This window comes from Homo sapiens, chromosome X (genome assembly GCF_000001405.40).
Source record: "Homo sapiens chromosome X, GRCh38.p14 Primary Assembly".
Taxonomy (NCBI): Eukaryota; Metazoa; Chordata; class Mammalia; order Primates; family Hominidae; genus Homo; species Homo sapiens.
The window spans coordinates 105,747,025-105,766,928 of NC_000023.11; the positions used below are offsets into that span (position 1 = coordinate 105,747,025).

The window sequence follows — 19,904 nt, forward strand, 5'->3', positions numbered from 1 at the left end:
TAAGATGGTGAGAAAACAAGTAAAAATTGTGATTTGCAGCCCACAGAGATTTCTTAAGAAAGCCTGCTTTATCCCCAACATAGGCAGAGGCAGAGGAAGGTAGTGGTTCCTGGAGAGCCACGTTTTACATAGAGGGCAGGAAGCATTGCTAATTATGTGGTGAAATTTTTTTTTTACCTGAAATTTTGTGGCTTAGTTTTTTAAAAGACCACCTCCTGCAGCAGGCATGACAGACACATATTCCAATTTCCTACCCCTATTCATTGTGTGTGCCCTCACAATATTCCTTGTTGGCATATTTTGTCCTTCACAGCAGCCCCACTCTCTTCCTTTTTCTATCCTTCCCCCTCTCTCCATACTCAAAAAGAGTGACATTTATTTGTGTTTCTTACATTTCCATTCTATGACTCTCCTGATTGGCTGTTCTCTCTCTCTCTCTCTCTCTCTCTCTCTCTCTGTGTGTGTGTATGTGTGTGTGTGTGTGTGTGTGTGTATATATATATATATATATACACACACACACACACATATATACACACATATATACACACATATATATATATTCTTTTTTATAAAATATAAACTACTAAATGGATCTTGTTATATTGAGCCTGGCTAATTTCTCTTAAGCAATAATCCTGTATAGACATAAGGGACATTCCTAGAGAAAGGTTGACAGTCTGGCTTTCAAGAGTGACAGACTGTCAATGGTCAGCAATTTGATTTTGACAGTGCCCCAGAATTGATCCATCCAGGAAGACTGACTGATGCCAACTAAACTCACAAGGAACTGATGTACAAACTAGATTGTCTCTCTCTTTTCCAGTTTCCAGTTACATGGTAAGCTGAATTAGTACTAAAATAGTCACTTGGTAATTATGTAATTACGTTAAAGGGAGGTTAGGTAATCTTGTAGGTAATTTTATCTAATTATAATGAGACCGATAATGTCCCTGTGGAAAATACGTCTCTGGTCTGATGTCTCTCAGATTCAGTATTTTTCCTATGGACATTGCTGAACTCACATTCTAGATTCTCCTCTGACTTCCCATTTTCTCTAAATTTCATGATACCATACCATCTTTTGATGATACACTCTTTATATTTATTAATATCACTGATTAACTACAGGTTAAGTCACTGTTCCCTGAGCCTGGGAGACATTATGTCTTCTTCCATTATATTTTGATTTAATTGTTCCAATGCTCAGAGTTCTAGGGATGCCCCCCTGGAGCAGCCTAAGTCTGCTATCAGGTAGGCTGGTGTTGGCTGAAGAGGCCAAGTGATTAGCCTGGATTTCTCATTCTGTTTTAGCTCCATTGGGCATATTATATCACATATATATTATTACAGTCATTTATTCAAATAAGTAGGGGAAATGGATAAGCTAATTTTACCTGCTTACCTTATATTGGATTATGTTCTACTGGGGTTAAATGAAACAGTTAAATCCTGCAAACTCATTAGATTTTATTTGATTCTGAAAGTAATTTTATGATGTTGTTCTGCAAAAGAATAGGGCCTGTGGCCTGAGAAGTACTAGATGGTAATCTTGCTAAACCAATAAGATAATTAAACAGAAATAAGAAAATATTGGCCTTGGACCCAGAATAAAGTAGCTTTAATAGTTCCCTGAAATACATTTAGAGCAAAAGCATATATGTGACATCTTAGATGCGTTCAAAACGAATTGAGAGCAACTATTCCTTTTCAGATAGACTTACCACTTTTAATAGTAAATTAATCAAATTTTAAATAGTTTATTTTACAAAAATTTGATTCATACAAATGTATCAAGAGCAAAGCTACTGCATTAAGCAAGAATTTTCTGGAAAGGAAAACAGAATGTTAGTACATCTTATATACTAGAAATATGGGAAGATCCCAAGTGTTGCTGATTTAATTACCTTTTCCTGTTTATTCTGTTCGCTCCAGATTTAATCTATAAAATTGAGCTTGCAGGGGGCCTGGGAGCAATCTTCCTCCTCCTTGTACTGCTGGTGGTCATTTACAAATGCTACAACATTGAATTGATGCTCTTCTACAGGCAGCACTTTGGAGCTGATGAAACTAATGATGGTAAGCTGTCTTCTATTGTTCAAATTCCATTAAACGGCATGCATTTGTGATTATGTAAGAGAACTTCCCTATTTTTAGAAAGTATAAGCTGAAATATTTAGGGGTAAAGGGCTATGGCAAGTTACTTACCTTTAAATAGTTTAGAAGACTTACCAAGAAAAAGAGAAAAGAGGAGAATATATTGACAATAGGTAAATCTGAGTAAATGCTATGTATGTTTTTTGAAATGGTTTTATTTTTATAATATTCCTATACATTTGACTTTATTTCCAATAAAAAGTTTAACAATGAGACATTAGTTGCTCAGGAGATAAAACAATTGCTGTCAAATCCCTCCCCCTTAGTAAGAAGCAAATTAAGAATCAATTCCAATTTTTTTCAGAAAATGCAAACTTAAGTACAGATCATTTATAGCCATTGCTGCCATCTACAAAACAAGCAATCATGCAAGAAACAGATTGAAAGCTATGGAGACAATCCTTTTAAAGCTCAAAGTACATGTATCTACATATTTTGAATGCTTATAGCACCATTCTCAAAGGTGACCTGAAAGAATAAAAATTCAGAGTGTAGCTCATAATTTTCTTATATTTGCTGTTTATGAATTTTGAAAATCTTATGAGTGAAATATCGATAAAGCAGTGTACTGAGCTTTGTTTCTTTGAACATTTAAAATGATTTAATTTTTTTCAAGAGTACAAACTGCCATGTTTCCAATCAAAATCAATAAGAAATCATGGCATGTAGCTTCTTATACATAAAGTTCTCATCCCGAAACTGCTGTAAGCCTTGGAAATGTGTATAGAATGCCACAGGTAAGCCAAAAATTTTTTAGAAAGTAGTCCAATTTGGAAAACATTAGTTTAAAAAGACAGACTTAAAACTGAGTTTTCATTGTACCAAAATAAGTAAGGTTGAGGCTTTTGTTTATTTTTTTGAGTTGGTGGTCTTACCTCAAAAAAGAGAAATTCACAGTTTTGATTTTAATTTTATAGTGATAGATGTAATGTCAAAATTTTTGAGGAATCTGATTTTGGTCTTATTGTTACTATTATGTGAATGATCATATGGGTGGGTTTTAATTGACTTTCATATTTTCATAGTAAATTACAGAAATTCTTTTTTTTTTGTTAACTGCAAAGCAATGTGTGTTTTTTGTTTTGTTTTGTTTTGTCTTTTTTTTTTTTTTTGAGACAGAGTCTCACTGTCACCCAGGCTGGAGTGCAGTGGTGCAATCCTGGCTCACTGCAGCCTCGAACTCCTGTACTCAAGCAATCCTCCTGCCTCAGCCTCCTGAGTAGCTGAGATTACAGGTGCATGCCACCATGCCTGGCCAATTTATTATTATTATTATTATTATTATTATTATTATTATTATTTCTTGTAAAGACAGGGTCTCACCTTGTTACCTAGGCTGGTCTCAAATTCTTGCATTCAAGTAATCCTCTGGACTTAGCCTCCAAAAGTGCTGGGATTACAGACATTAGCCACTGCACCTGGCGTGAAATGCTTTTTGATGAGTACATATGCATGCTCATTTGCTCATTTTCAAATCTACACATTTACTCAGCAATTACAGCAGCCAGTTTAAAAGTACTACAGACTCTTATTCAGACATATCTTAGAAATGAAAAATTAAGGCCTATTCCAATAATTATTGTATACACTGACAATATATATGGAAATATGATCAATTACCCTCAGTTCTTCCTCTATACAACAGTTAATATTGAAAAATCTTGACTTCTTATCTGTACACAGAAAAAAAAACTAGAGAGAATGTGTTACTGAGGGAAATGTCCCTGGTTCCCAGGTGCCAGCAAGTGGCTAAACTATCCAATTGTGAAGGTAAAAGATGTATTATCTATGTAAAAGAACATAAAAGGGGCCAGGCACAGTAGCTCACAAAATCTCAGCACTTTGGAAGACCTAAGCAGGAGGATTGTTTGAGCCCAGGAGTTCAAGACCAGCCTGAGCAACATAGGGAGACCTCATCTCTACAAAAATTAGTTTAAAAAATATTAGTTGGGCATGGTGGTGCATGCCTTTGGTACCAGATAGTCGTGGGGGCCGAGTCAAGAGAATCGCTTGAATCCAGGAGTTCAGGGTTGCAGTGAGCTATGATCGCACCACTGCACTCTGGCCTGGGCGACAGAGTGAGACCCTGTATCTAAAAGAAAAAAGAATAAAATAAATAAAAATATGAAAGGGAGGCTTCTGTGATTAATATGTTTTGAGTCCTGATAATATGCAGTTTGTTAATCTCTAAGATTATACAATTTATTATGTTAATCTACAATAATTAATTACCTTCATCACTGATACCCAATAACCTAGACTAACTGATCAGTTGTAGTACATATTTGTAAGATTAATTTTATGCTGATATGATATAATTTTTCAGGAATTAAATATTCCACTTTGCATCTTTATCTGCAATGTGGCTCATGGTTTCAAAGGTGTCCAGTAATATAGAGCATTTTGATTACATAATTTTATGTATTGATTCCAAATTCATTGTTTGGGGGGAAATGCAATATGGGGAGAGGGTACTTCAAGTGTTTTCATTAGGAAGGATGGTTAAAATATTTTATTTTTCTGCATAGAACCTTGGACTTTAAGTATATAACCTCTGTATTAGCTTCAGTGGAATACTAAAAAGTCAACATGTATATGGTGAAAATGAATAAATGAATTTTAACTGCCTTTTGGAAATCTACAGTTACAGAATGCCAAATGTCATCCAGATAATCTATCAAGTTTTTCATTTCACTATTGAAATATTTTGACATAACATAGACACAACTTAATTTTAACCATATGCTTTTTCTTCATGCTCTATGACAATATCTATAATAGTATTTCCTAAAAGTTATTATAAAAATGCCTGATTTTGTATAAAATAAAATCCATCCAACAAACTTTAACTTCTTAGCCATGTTTAAAATTTAATTCATTTTATTTCACCCCACCAATGATTGCTTCATTTATTTAACCTTTCAGTTTTTCAGTCATTAAATATTTAAGTGTCTACTAAATGGCAGGGACTATGCATGACGCATTTACTTATATTCTTCATCTGGATCAACACTGCAGTCACACACACACACACACATACTATAGTAGGTAGTAGGTATATAATAATCAACAAGATTACACAGTATTTGCTCTGTAGAAACTAGGAGTTTAGCACTCTGTTTAGCACAGCTGCGGAACAACTGAGTTATAAACACAAATGGCTTCTTGATAGGGAACAGGATTCGAATCAGATTTTAAAACAGAAAAGGACAGACGTAACAATAGGAAAATTCTTCTACAAAACGTTTCGTTATCTTCCTTATAACTTCTCTCTTTATTAGGAACAGCATACCTATGGTAACCACTGTGCCAGCCCTCTTCCTTACACTGTTCTGTCTGCATTGTGCTCTATTTCCTGGTTCCTCAGATGAGCTTAGGCAGCATGATTTAGCACAAAGGAAGGCTCATTAGCCTTGCCTAGAAAAGTGGTGCTGCTGAACAGCCTTTTGGTTTAGAAACTATTTTCAGGCCTTGCTGTTAACCTTATTTGCATCATGTTGTTGATTTTGCTTTATCTATCTTGCTCCTCTTTGTGAGCAACAGCTGCAGCTATTCATGAGGTTTTCTTGGCTGTCTACATAAGGCTGAAGTGCATTATTTAAACTGTAGCATCCGTGTCACTGCTGGCTCACTAGCTGGTATCCTAGAGCTTTTGGGACATCTGACATGGTGGCTTTGAGAGCTGTCTTCCTGCTCTGGCCAGCCACCATAAGCTCTTCACCTTTAGTTCATCTTAAAGGGACACGAATGAAACCAGAAGCATTCATTTTTTCAACGAATGGTGTGCTTCTAGAATGCGAGGTAAAATTTATAATCCAGATGTGTTGGGTGTTAATACGTACCAAGGACATGCATGCTCTTTGTCACATCTTAGAAAATGTAAGTATAGAAGTACTTTCTAGGGGTAAGTCTTTGTAGCATTGAACTGCAATATCAGAATATAGGTGGAGCCAGTAAGGACAGAACCAAGAATATGTGAGTTTAGTATGTTTGGAAGACAAATAACCATAGTACAAGCAATAGGACAGGAGTCTAGAAGGTCTGGTCAGATGGGTAAAGAAGTCAAGTAGCCATTGCAGATGCTCAACAAATAATTGTTGAATGAATTAATAAGTGGTTCAATTTAGGGAGGTTTGTGAAATAGGAAAGTTATCAAAGTCAGAGAGAGTAACAGGGTCTGGTCTGACATTATGGAGTTTGAGGCAGCAACACTATCTATCAAGAACAATGAAATATATTCTGCTCATGTGAATGGAGCTATTTGTCCTTTGGCCTATTTTATTCTTCCAGCTGTGTATCATCGGCAGCCCTGAGTCCCAGGTGAGTAATTATAGCTGGAGAAAGTCAGGGGCCTGCAGGTGTATCCTGCACGTGATTGGAACAAGGGCAGAGGTGCTAGGATTACCAGGAGGTTCTTACATTAGCATTGCTTATGAACATTCTCACTTCCAAGCAGAATTTTATGCACAACAGTGGAATGCGCCCAACTTGTAAGCGAAATGATCTCAACTACCCAGGGCAGTCCTTCATGTACATCTGCTTCCAGGCAATCAAGTAATCCAACCAAGGTTTATGGAAGCCTTTTGCAGCCAGAAAAGATGCTAAAGAGTATTAACCCTTTCTCCTTCCTTCAGGCACCATCTTAATACAAATAACCAGAATTTCTTTTGTTTCAGAGTGGTGAAGGCTAAAATCTTACTAAAATTAGAACAACATAATCCTACTTCAGAGATAGGGAGGTCTCATCTACTCCTAAAAGAGGGTATCTACAGCACATCATATGTCTATCATTTATTCCTCCTTCAGCATGTAGAATGAAATCATGGTGTGGGTTATGCTGGAAGTAAATGAGTGGCTGCTTCATTTTATAAATTACCTTTTGGTCAGGTTTTAGATATGTTCTAATTAGGTATGTTTTAATAGAAAATATTGATGTGTTTGAGAAACAAATCCTGAAATTTTTAACAGTCTTTCGCAGTTATTATTTGTAAGTAACTGGGTTTACGAATAGTTCACATGAGTCTGTGCTCACTACATTAACTTAAAAAAATTTTTTTTAATAAGGGAATTTTGAAAATCTCACTATAACTTTTTCAGTATGGATGTGGCCCATCTAAAACCTTCAGAAACTAATACCTCAAGTAGCTATGTTCATTAACATTTTGCAGGAAAAAAAATTGTATGCATACATGCACATTTTCTCTCTGGAGAGACTGGCTCTGAGCCAATACAGCAAAAAGAGGAAAAAATACACTTGCAAAGCACAGTTAACTCCCTGACTAAATGTGTGGAGGGAAAATCTAATTTGGCAATACTGGACGGATGTATATTTTGAAACAAAGGCTTCTTTTGGAAGCTTGTGTCATATTAGTTGGCCATGAACTGAACAAGAATAACAGGTAACGCACTTGTATAAAACCCAGCTGCTGTCTCTAATATTTGGTAATGAACTGCTTTTTGTATATGAAGATGATGACACTAACCAACTGGAACTATGGCATGTGCTGTGAACAGTGTCTCCAGGAGCAAGGCTGGATTATTTCAATCTTCCACACTCTAGGGCCCAGCCCCTGTTGGATCTTTTGCACATATTTGTGCAAACAAGGTATAGTCTGTGGCCAAGTAACAGAGCCAAGCCAACTGGAAAATAAAGGGGTTAAATCCATGACTTTGGTCTATTTAGTCCTGCATTCAAACACACTGAGCTAATCATTCACACATCATTGAGTATTACAAATGCATATAGTCACTGAAAGTCACAAATAATAATTCTCTCTTTTATTCTGTTCTGACTATAGGTGGCCCATTGCATAAGTTTCAATTCATATATGACTAGGTTATTTTGAAAGGGATTAGATTTCCTATAACATGGCATGTGACTTATTTTTTTCCAATTATTAAAGACGGTCACTAATTATTGTGCTATTCCTGCCTCTTAGTACTCAAAGAGAACCTGTTAATAGTTACAACCCTTTTGTTGTTCTTTATGTTTAAGACAACAAGGAATATGATGCCTATCTCTCTTACACAAAAGTGGACCAAGATACTTTAGACTGTGACAATCCTGAAGAAGAGCAGTTTGCTCTTGAAGTACTGCCAGATGTCCTGGAAAAACACTATGGATATAAACTCTTCATCCCAGAAAGAGACCTGATTCCAAGTGGAAGTAAGTACTTTCAAATTTTGTGTTTAAAACGTTCTGTTTCTTTTAGGATGTTATGTGAAGGCTTCAAACATCAGAGCCAAGTATTTAGACAGTTGTTTCTCACAGTAGAGTTTCTTAAATCCAAATTTTTCCCATATGCCTGTGTTCTGACTTTCTAGCACCTGAATATTTTTAAAGGCATTCTCACTAATATTTTGGGTATGATTTCTAAATTGTGCCATAATGGTCATTTTTATTATATTGCCTTAGTATCCTGAAAAGCATTATGATCTTTTAAAAAAATCTGTAAAAGTTAGTTAAAGCCTTTTCAATATATTTCAGTTGCAAAGCTGGTCTTCTGTCACTGAGGGTCTACTTATACCTACAATTATTGTTACTAATGGCTTTGAATCTATGCCTTTCAACCTTGTTATTCATTATGCCTTGTCACTTATTTCCAGATTTATGGAAAAATCCACTTAAAAAGGTATATGAGGCCATTGGGTACAGCACTCTCACTGTGTACTTAAATTATTTTCAAGACACTTGAATGCTAGGCTTGAATGCTATTTTTAAGTTATGCTACACATTGAAGACTATATTGAGGCTTTCAGAATAAATTCAGTTTCAAGGCAAAATATGTAGTTTTTTCCCATTAACATCCAGAGTGCATACACATACACAGTAAAGTATAAGGGGAACACAGAGAAATCTAAGACATAGTCCCTGCTCTCGAAGAGCTTAAAATGCCATTGAGGAAAATATAAGTTCTAGAACTTATTTGCATATAAGTACTAATATCCTTGAGAGGGGAAGATTGAACTGGTAACTACAAATCATAACATGTTACTTTCAACATGTGATAATAACAAAATAAAAAGCTTATATTACCAGTACTTGACAGTGTATAAAATAATTTCACATACATTACTTCATTTCATTTTTACAGTAACCCTGTGTTGCGAGAGAGTAGGTACTTATATCCTCATGCTGAGGAAGCAAACCCCAAAATCGTCCAAGATCAAACAGTTGGCAAATGGTTGAGCTGGCAGTGGAACCTAGATTTATTTGACTTTGGTTCTCACTCTGCTAGATCATGCTGCTCCTCAATAACATTTATTCAGATTACCAGCAGGCTGCCTTGGTCACTAAGCTGACAGGAGACAAATGGAAACAAATGGGTTTTGATTGTTCATCTCTTTTCTTAGCGTTCATTTATGTCTGTGTATGTTGATGTGTGCACGTTAGTATGCACACTTAGAAATGCATGGAAAGGAACAAAGAAGGCAATATTTACTGGTTTATTTTTTCCTGCTCCACAAATGTAAGAATTCCCCAAGCTTCTTATCATGGTCCTTCATTCTTTTCTTTCTGCAGTTTTCCCCATACTATCCTATATTTATTTTTTCCCCAAGGAACATCCTGATACCCCATTTTTACGACTTGAAATACTATTCTACATTTGTTGTTTCTCCAAGGAACATCCTGGTACCTCAGAGTCATTTTTCATTCTTCTGTGTCTTTCTCCCAAATTCAGTGTCCCTTGCATTTTTTTCATTCTCATTTTTCCATCCTAGTGTAGGCCCTAATTATCTAACTCCTTCAATGTTAATTATCCCTCTATCTTCCTTATCTTTCCTCCCATCCATTCAGCCCCACTAATATCAAGTACATCTCCTCGATCATGTCACTTCTGTGTTCAACAAATGAATCATTCACTATTTACTACAGGATAAAATTTATAACCCTTAGCTAAACACTTATACAATCTTTTGCCAGCCCAGATTTATCTCCTAAATTTGTCTCCTACCACTTCCTCTACTCATACTTTCCACTCTAGCCAAACTGTGCCTTTGATATACATTGTATGTCCCTGTAATGCATTTGTTCATGTTAGTCCTCTATGACTTTGCAAATCCTACTTATCCTTCTCCATATCATTGCCTCTGTGAAAAGTCCATAATAATCTCTCCAGCTGTAGAATTCATGATGTATAATCACTTATTTGACAGTAAATTTGTACTCCTGTGACATTTTGCATTTTAAAATAATTTTACTAGCTTTTCATCTATTTATGTCTTTTCTAGCCAGCAAGATTATAAACTCCATGAGGACAGGGATTATATCTCATTTATTTTTGTATCCCTATAGTCATCTAGCAGAAGACTTGAGCTCATTAGATGCTTCATAGATGTTTATTGATTTTGTTTGAAAAATGTCGTCAGGATGGGCAGAGATTTTATAGTCCATAGAAAATTCTTTTAATGCTTTAAAATCAGACTGAGTAGGGGCTTGGATCTTGGGTCCTCAATGGTGCACAGGAAGACTCCTTTTACAAGTAAGCCATTTGGGACAACTATGCAGTTTTTAGATGCAACCACTGGAGGGTGTTTGATTTTAATCCTTCCTTCCTGAACGAGGAAATTCATGTTCTCTGAATTCCGATTTGCGAGTGTAACCTGCAGAGGCTCTTAAAAAGGCCCTTTGACAATTTTTCTTTTCCATCAACATTTTAGAGTTAGCTGAGCAGTCACCATGTCAGGATTAACGAGTTTTTCCTTGGCATTTTTAGCATGCATTCAGGAAGTCAATGAAGTATATGAATAATATACTTGATTTACACATGAATGACAGAGTAGAACATTTTGGACTTGGTGTATATGTGCTATTAAAGAAGCTTCTGTGGTCTGTATTTTCAACCATTGGTACAGATTTAACAGCTTATATTATATAAATACAGACACATTCCTGTTGGGGGGGAAACCTAGTTACAGTATTATAAGCTGTGTTTGTCCCTCACATCTCATTTAAAACATGTTGACCTAAGACTACTCCTTCCTCTGAAAACTAGCAATGAGGCCTTTGAGGACTATGAAAGCAGACTTCATAAAATCATTCTTGATCCACAACAATAATTTTCTATGAATCAAATTAATGACATCTATGACATAAACCCATTCATATTTAATGTCTTCACTTTTGATGTATCTTCAGTCTTTTTGTACTACTCTCACGGTATTCCAACTCAACCTCATCAACACACAAACCTTTCCAATGTACACAGTTTCGAAAGTACATGAAAATCTCTCTCTCTCTCTCTCTCTCTCTCATATAACCAAGAATTCTCAGAAACCTTGGTTACAAAGATGTCACTTTCCAAGGTGAGCTGGGGGTGTCTGTACCACCCATGCCCTACCAGGAATATGTTGTCCTTTGGCCATTGTGAACCAGCAGAGATGGGGAGATTTAATGCAAATATTTTTCCTAAATGCTGAAACTGAGTGTTCCGATCTGGACATTATTTTCCTGGCAGTGACTACCTTTCCATTCTTGAGCCTGTGGCCAGGATCTTCCTTATGTTTTCTCAGGTTGGGTGCCTAAATATGGCAAGAATTCTTACTTTCCAGTAAAAGTTTGGTCTGTCTTTTCCCAGACTAGAAACATCTGTCCCTGAGAATAGCGAAAGCAACTTTGTTGCCAACAGGCATCTGAATGTCAGAAGTGACAGGCAACCAGAAGAAAGCCAGATAGAAAACACCCTATTCAAACTGCCTAGAGACACAAACTTGAGAAGTAGAGATTTTTCTCACCCATGCAGCTGCTGGTTTTTGTGGTATAAACTACTCTACACAGAGCACATTGTGTTCATGGGGCCTAGAGGATCCTTGAGGAATGAACAGATGTGCTCTGAAGCTGACATGTGACCAACAGAACCCAGCTGTGCAATTGAGATCCTGAGATTGGGGACATTTTTGGATGAGTACCATTTATGCTTTTGGGCCTATCTTATCTCAGTGTTTCTGTAGAGATTAAATAAAAACCAAAAATGTAAAAAGTTATTGAATCAGGCTGAGGGTCACTGGTCAGATGGAGAAAATAGCATTCTAAAACTAAAAGTAGAAACAACCCAATCCTGTACTCTTTGTTTCCCTTTAAAAGTAAGAAAGTAAGGTGCTGAAAGGTGCATATGCAATATTTATTAACAATTATAAATTAAACCAGTTTTGGATGAAGCTTTAGAAAAAGCTACAGATGTCTAAGTGGACTTTGAAGAGAAAAAAAATCCTTGGAAGGTTTTTACCTCAATTTCCCCTTCTATTTATAGAAAGACTATGAGGATCCCTATGTGAGTTGTTCATGCATGATTGCATTCAAGAAATACACTAGAAAACTAAAAATATTATCATGCTTATGGTTTATTGGCCACATCTTTTTAAATTATATTCATGAATTTAGCCTCATGTGTCGAATTATCTTTTCATTTGTCTTTATGCTCAATTTTCCATGAAGGAATCCTAAGACTTTCAGTAATTTAAGGGAAAAAGTATAATGTCTGATTACATTCTTGCATTTGGTAGACTTTCCTCACTAATCTAATCTTCAATTCTTTAATGCTTAGTACTAGCCATGTGATTGTGCTGACAATGAAATGACAAATGACTAGAGAATACATCTGGTGTCAGATGATCCCTAGTCACTTCTGAAGTGAGGCATGCAAAAAAACATTTTTGTACATGGATCTGTAAGCATTCATTGCCACTAGTTCCTCTAATAGCCGAACAGATTGGACACCATTTAATTAAGTTGTCTTTGGGGAGTAATAAAATCGTTTTCCAGACAATCTGATGTGTGTGACCTAAAAAGTTTGAGGGAGGGGTGACATGAACAATCATGGAAATTTAACATATTGTGTGAACTTTACTCACATGGAATAAAATTGAACGTGTCCATTATCCCCTTCATGTTAAAGTCAAGAGAGAAAAAAACTGTACTTCAATATGTCCAGCAATGTACTGAGGTCAATAGAATAATATTTCTCATCAAAGTTTGAGGTAGAGGTTAGAGTTGATTATGTAGAATTTCATTCAGGAAATCTGCTGTTTGGGTGGCACAAAGAACAGGCATCTCAAACAAACAAACAAACAAAAAAACATAGTATAAAACCAGGATAAGATTGTCTTAAGTACTGGAGGAAACACAGAAAAGACTGTAAGTAGTAAGTGGCTTTGTTCCATGTTCATTAAGGCTGCACCAGTGAGAATTAGTTACACTACAAGCTTTTAGGGCTTCAGAAGAGAGAAAGAAAGAGGTGGAGGGTATTTTGCAGGTTTGCTTTCTTTGCTACTCTCCACTTTATGTTTCTTTCAATCTTCTCTAAATGTGTCCCATTCCCTACCTCTACTCTCTGTGAAGAGGTGAAGAGAGAAGAGAAAGAAGACAGAAATGTGGACAGCATTCAGAGTGGATTCTTCACACCGTCATGCTTCCCCACTCACCCACAGGTGAAATGTGAAAGTACAGGATTCATTACTAGCAATATAGCCTCCAAACTCAGAACTGTAAATACACACAATTCCCTGTAGTCATCAGGTCTCAGCAAATTCATGTTAGCTGCTGAGTCAATGATTAATCAAAATTAATTAGGACCCTCATACTATAGAGAACAAAACTCCTGCCTAAGAAATTTAGCTCAGCTAACTGTGAATTATCAAGCCAAGAATTTGGAAGGGGAGAGGGCAGGAAAGGTTTTTGTAGGACAAGTAATATCACACATATTTAGAAAGGCTCCCAGCCAGGCACGGTGGCTCACGCCTGTAATCCCAGCACTTTGGGAGGCCGAGGCAGGCAGATTTCCTGAGGTCAGGAGTTCAAGAGCAGCCTGGCCAATGTGGTGAAACCCCATCTCTACTAAAAATGCAAAAACTAACTGGGCGTGGTGGCAGATGCCTGTAATCCCAGCTACTTGGGAGGCTGAGGTAGGAGAATTGCTTGAACCCAGGAGACGAAGGTTGCAGTGAGCCAAGATCACGCCACTGCACTCCAGCCTGGGCAACAGAGCGAGACTCCGTCTCAAAAAAAAAAAAAAAAGAAAAAGAAAAAAAAACTCTTCCTATACACACACACACACACACACACACACACACACACACACACACGGCTAACTTAACATTATGTAGCCTCAGTCTCCATGGCAAACAACAGACACAGAATCTTACATCTGTCAGAGACAGAATCAAGACCTAAAATCTTTAGCAACATCAGCCAAGATAGAGTCAATGTGTGTAACTATGCCAGTAGGTTAGTATTTAGAATCATTATATAAAACTCAGATAGTATTTTTAGTGATATAAGGTAACCCACTGTAAGCCTCTAGTTATAGCAAATGTGTGATATTTTCCCCAACTATGTAGTGGTGAATAATATATTTTTCTTTGATATATAGGAAACATATGTAGGCTTGATTTTAGGTCTTGATATATTAACCTATAGGTTTTATAAATATTGTTGATAGCTATAAATTAGCTAACGTTCACCAAAAATTAATGGAGTATTATCTGTTTTGATGCATCCTGTCTCACCCTAATGGTGTGTCTTTTTAACTAATAATAGCTGCTGTGCATAACTGTGAATTTAAGCATATCAAATTACTATTATATGAATCTGGAAAGTAATAAATTATGCTTTTGTTTACAGGCTAAGTATCTGTCTTTTAACTTCTTAAAAAATATATCCTATATGCTGCTGATAATGACCTTGACATTAGTGGAGGTGTCAACACAAAAATAATTTATAAGGAGCTAATTGATTGATTAGTTTGAGAAATCAGATGGTTAGTAGGCAGGAGTAAGACCACATAGAAATTCATGAATATAGAGTTTTTTCTCCCATGTCCTTCTTGCCTACATCTGCAGTAGACTCAATGGCCTGAGAATTAAGAAAGTACTGAATTCTTTTGGAAAAGTGTATGTTTCCCATTAGAAGCAATTTCTTTTGTGGCTGCCATTCTTCCTGCTTCTATTTCCTCCTTCAGTTTGCCTTTTTCCTTCGTTAATGAATGGCATAATTTGCTTTTAAGTCACTTTTCTAGATCTAATTCTATTTCTCCTCTAAATGCACTAGAATTTTGTTTTATACAATGGCCCTTGAAAGATATTTTAAAATTGAATTTGCTTTGTTTTTAATAAGGCTTTAGGTAGCAACTTTCTTTGCTTTTTACAAATACTGGTGCTACTGGCATGATGTTTTTTTCATTTCTCTAATAAGTACATATCCCAAGGAGAGTCTAGTGGCAAGGCATTGTATTCCAGAATATTTTCCTAACTCTCTGTCAACTCCCAGCAGAGACAAAAGAAAAAGTTTTATTTCATTTGCACTTATAATGTGAAAAAATTAATTATATCAATTTAAGCACCCTATCAAAACTATGTTCAAGGAGACTTTTTTCTTTCTCTAATTGTTGAAGATTATGAACAGGTTAAATGTACTTGGCTTTGTTTCATGTCTGATAATCTGCTGTGGTTTCGCAGACTGGTCTAGAGAAACAGAAGGCTATCAGACACAGCCCCTTTTGGTCTTTTCTGTCATCACAAGTTACATCAAACCACAGCTTGCAAAGAAATGACTTAGTGACCTTTTATTTAAGGGATATCTTATATTTTTATGTGGAAAAAGTCTTTTAAGGGATTCTTGCTACTCAGTTGCTAAATTTGCCGGAACAAGTCAAGGCAAGATTTAGTGAGTATTCATATGTGCTGTGGATTTAGGGATTTTTTTTTTTGAAAAACGTTTCTTTATTATCTCTTCGTGGTAACAAGCTTTTAAAAACGTTTTCTGAAGGTTTCTAAAATGTCTCCCAAAAAACCACAACCCTATGAGGGCAAACCCCACTGCCTGTCAGGGACTACTACTAACTATGGGCTGGCAATGTCTTAACTTGATACCTGTTTCTGCTTAGATTATTTGGAACTTTTCCAAACCCAACCACCCTCCTTGGTCTTTAATTCAGGGGTGGCAAAACTTCTTTGTAAAGGTCCAGATAGTAAATATTTTAGGTTTCGTAGATTATATATGGTCTCTGTTGCATCATATCTTCTTATTCTTCTCTTTTACAACTCTTTAAAAATATATAAATCATTCTTAGCTCACAAGCCATACAAAAACAGGACATGGGCCTAATGTATCAGTCTCCAGATCACAGTCATTGGATGCAGACATACAACCCCAGGGTGAAGGGGAAACTGGGGCACTTGCTTGATAGAAGCCAGCAACAATTCCCTGGCTAAAGATTAGCAAGTAAAAAATATGAACTCTACCTATTTGATTTCTTCCTCATTTACTTTTGTTTTCTGTGATGGCTAGGTTCTTATATTTTCCCAAAGACAACAAAAGAAAACTTAAGAAGAGAAGGAAGAAGGAAGCAGAGGGAGATAGGATAGAGAGGAAGAATGGGATAGGTAAAAAGAAAGAGCGAGAAAGAAAACAAGTAAAAAGAAAAGAGAATAAAAGGGCAGAAAAAGAAAGGGATAAAGACAGAGGTAGAGAGGGGGAAATGGGGGAGAAAAAGAGAGAAAAACAGAGAGCAAGCCAGAATATGGAAGCTAGGGCACAGTCTCGCCTTCTTTTCCTAAGAGCCAGTCAGCTCTTAGAGGCACCTCCCCAGCTGCTTTCAAACATTGAGGTTGCTGCCCAGCCACTGATCATCATCCCAAGAAGTGAAATGTGGGCTTCACATCTGAAAACTTCCACTTGGTTTTTCACCAAGTGAAATGGAATACGAGATTCAGGGCCCAAGCAAATGGCTCATGTTTTCTTTGGGACACTGGGGCTGTGTCTACCCAGGGAAAATTTTGATATACTGACTGACTGACTCTAGTGCATATGATTAATGTATACATAGGGCAAACCAGGATAATTTAGACCTTTTTTCTTCTACAGGAGGTTTTCAGCAGGAATTATCTGGATGGTTGCCTCAACTCTCCACTAGGCTTTGCCAGAATAAGCACAGCCAGTAGAGTATGCAGGAGACAGGGACCACTCCCTCTCTCCAAGGTTCCCTTTAACTCCCACACCCCGTGTAGCTAAGTATAGTGGGACCTGTACTGACAGGCATTCCTTCTGGGGGCAAATGTAAATTCTGTCTAATAAGTCTCTAAGAAGCCCCAAGAACCCTAAATATTGCATACTGCTTTACTGTCAGATGGCAAAATATAATAGATGGATGAAAGGGGAGAACCATACTTATGGAGGGAAAATGTTACCCTGTTCCTTTCCTCATCCCAAAAAGAAGCTAGCAAAGCCAAAGCCCATGACATCCCAGTCAAATGAATTACTACATGTGCGTACAGTTTCTCTTATAAGTGTGGATACCTGGGTTGTAATTTCTTTTCTTTAAGTTGATAGACTCATGTATAGATATAGCTTTAGTTTCTAAAAGCATAGTTTAAAAGTGCATTTGAGGCTGAGGACAGAGGATTGTTTAAGGCCAGGAGTTTGAGACCAGCCTGAGCAACATAGTGAGACCCCACCTCTATAAAAAATAATAATAAAAAATTAGCCGAGCATGGTGGCTGGCACCTGTAGTCCTAGCTACTGAGGAGGCTGAGGCAGGAGGATTGCTTGAGATCAAGAGGTCGAGGTTGCAGAGAGCTGTGTTTGTGCCACTGCATTCCAGCCTAGGCAACACAGCAAGACTCTATCTCAAAAAAATAAAAAAATAAAATAAAAGTACATTTAGACTAAAAACTAACACATAAAAATTATGTTGTTCCTAGAGGTACACTTTATGTGACAGAGTGTTACTGACAAGGTTTGTACAAGGTTTAATTTTTTTAAATGGAATTACAAGCTGTAATTAATTAGGGAACAATACTACTCAAAGTAACCCCTTGGTAAATTATTTTGTGAAGAATGATTCTATAAAATTAATAATGAATTCATAATTCACCTGGTAAAACTGTATCTTCATTGACTCCTGCACTGATATCATGATTCTGGGTTTGGGTTTTGTTCTGTTTTGGAGGAAAGGTGAAAAGAATAATGAGAAAAATGCATGATAGTTTATTTTACTGTATCTTACAGATCCAACTTCTAATGATGAAGCTTCCCACATAACTTCTTTCTTTTTGGGAGCAGAAAGAAAGGAAGAAAATGAAGAGTCAGAGCTGTTGATACATTGGGAAAATATTTTTCCACTCTATTGAAACTTCCTACCTTTCCTTCCCTTCTGTTTCACCAGTTCTCTAAGTGATAATTACAGAGTGATAACTTCTCAATTACTATTTCTGTGGTGTTTTTTTGTTTCATTTTGTTTTTGCAGATTTCACTGCTTATTTTTTCCCCTGAATGCATAATCTCTAAAATAAAACAATCAAAATTCTTAAAAGTTCCCTCTCTTCTTAGACACTGCCTTATCCCGACAGATACAGTCATTGTAACTACTGCATGAGAAAGATCCTGAAATGTATTAAGTCAAAACCCAAAGAACAGTAACAACAAATTGTTAAATGGGCAATTCTATGTGTATCTCTTAAAAGTTTCTTATTTATCTGTAGGGTATAAAGAAAGTTTGCTCATTTTCACTTGTAAAAGTTTTCTTGCTGCCAAGTAGTGAAAATAAAACCTTAGAAAAGAGAGAGCATCTGTAAAATATGCATCTGTAAAGTAAGTTTCTCTTTTCAAATTGCTTGTACTGAGCTGTTTGGTGGCCCCACAATATGTGCTGAATGTGACTCCTTGAAAGCAGTCTGTAACCTTGGGCAGATTTGTGTTGACAAATGTTGCTATGCTTCTTTCTGTAAGCACTGCTTCTGCTAGAGGGCACTGTACATTAGACAAGGCCTTGTGTTCTGCTTCGTAAAGACAGCTCTCTGGTGTAGCACCTGTGTCTAAGTCTCCATTTGTTAACACATGTGTGTGTTTCCCTTTTTGGCAGATAAGACTTTGGGAAGCATGATTCCAAAGGGATTATTTCATGTGATAAATAAATCCGGAGTTAGTTGAGTGTTTCTCTACCATGTAAAAGCCATAGATAACATATTCACCTCACTTTCAGAATTGCTCCACAAAGTAGGGCAAATACTTTCTTTTCAGTTGGTAGACTCCTTCACTGTTCATTTCACACCATCCCCCACCTCCGACTCTACTCTTCACTCTTCCTTGGAACAAAAGCAGCCAGTTCCAATTAAACTCATGGGCACAAACCACTTCCCTATCTCTGGGTTTGAAGGGCATAATGGAGAACCTAAGTTTGCAAATGACAGAAATAATCGGAGAAACAAGCTATGATTCTAAAAGAGATTTTCCACCATCTCTATATCACAGTTATCTCTCAAGTAGTTAGTATACATAGCCCCCTCCTTGTTTAGTAGTTGAAAACTAGGGGCCATACATACAGTTAGTATTTGTCAATTACAATAAATAATATTAATAAAAATAAAATTAAAGAAGAAAAGCAAACAAAACCCATAAATACAGTAACTCTGCATTTATTAAAAGGATCCATTTCTCTTTTCATCGGCTCCTTGATTAGTTGTTCACTTAGAGTACTAGCTTGGAAGCCTGACTTGAATTAAATGATTACATAAATAAAAATCACTGAAATACACCTAAGCTCTGAAGAAGTCAGAGTTTATGTTAGCCAACAAAACACTGTAAGTAATGGTGAGGGAAAAGAAAATAACGATTATAAGCAGTTTTTTTTTTTTTCAGTTTTAAGGAGGGGAATGTACCATACAAGAAAAGAAAATGTGATGGACTTTAGTGAGAGACTGGATCTTTGCTATACTAGTGTGCAAACCTGATGCTTTAGAGACTGGCAATGTCT

The 19,904-nt window shown here is 36.5% G+C and overlaps 1 protein-coding gene and 1 long non-coding RNA gene across 5 annotated transcripts in view; one reads left to right on the forward strand and one right to left on the reverse strand.

The window, feature by feature from the left end:
• IL1RAPL2 (interleukin 1 receptor accessory protein like 2) overlaps nucleotides 1-19,904 on the forward strand; it is a 1,201,631-nt gene that overhangs the window by 1,180,826 nt on the left and 901 nt on the right. For both annotated transcript variants that reach the window (NM_017416.2, XM_011530905.3), the window contains 2 exons: nucleotides 1,936-2,079; nucleotides 8,153-8,323. In NM_017416.2, coding sequence (NP_059112.1) covers nucleotides 1,936-2,079; nucleotides 8,153-8,323 — 315 coding nt within the window. The remainder of the gene's footprint in view (nucleotides 1-1,935; nucleotides 2,080-8,152; nucleotides 8,324-19,904) is intronic.
• LOC105373303 (uncharacterized) overlaps nucleotides 1-19,904 on the reverse strand; it is a 135,721-nt gene that overhangs the window by 85,393 nt on the left and 30,424 nt on the right. The gene's annotated exons all lie outside the window — the stretch shown is intronic.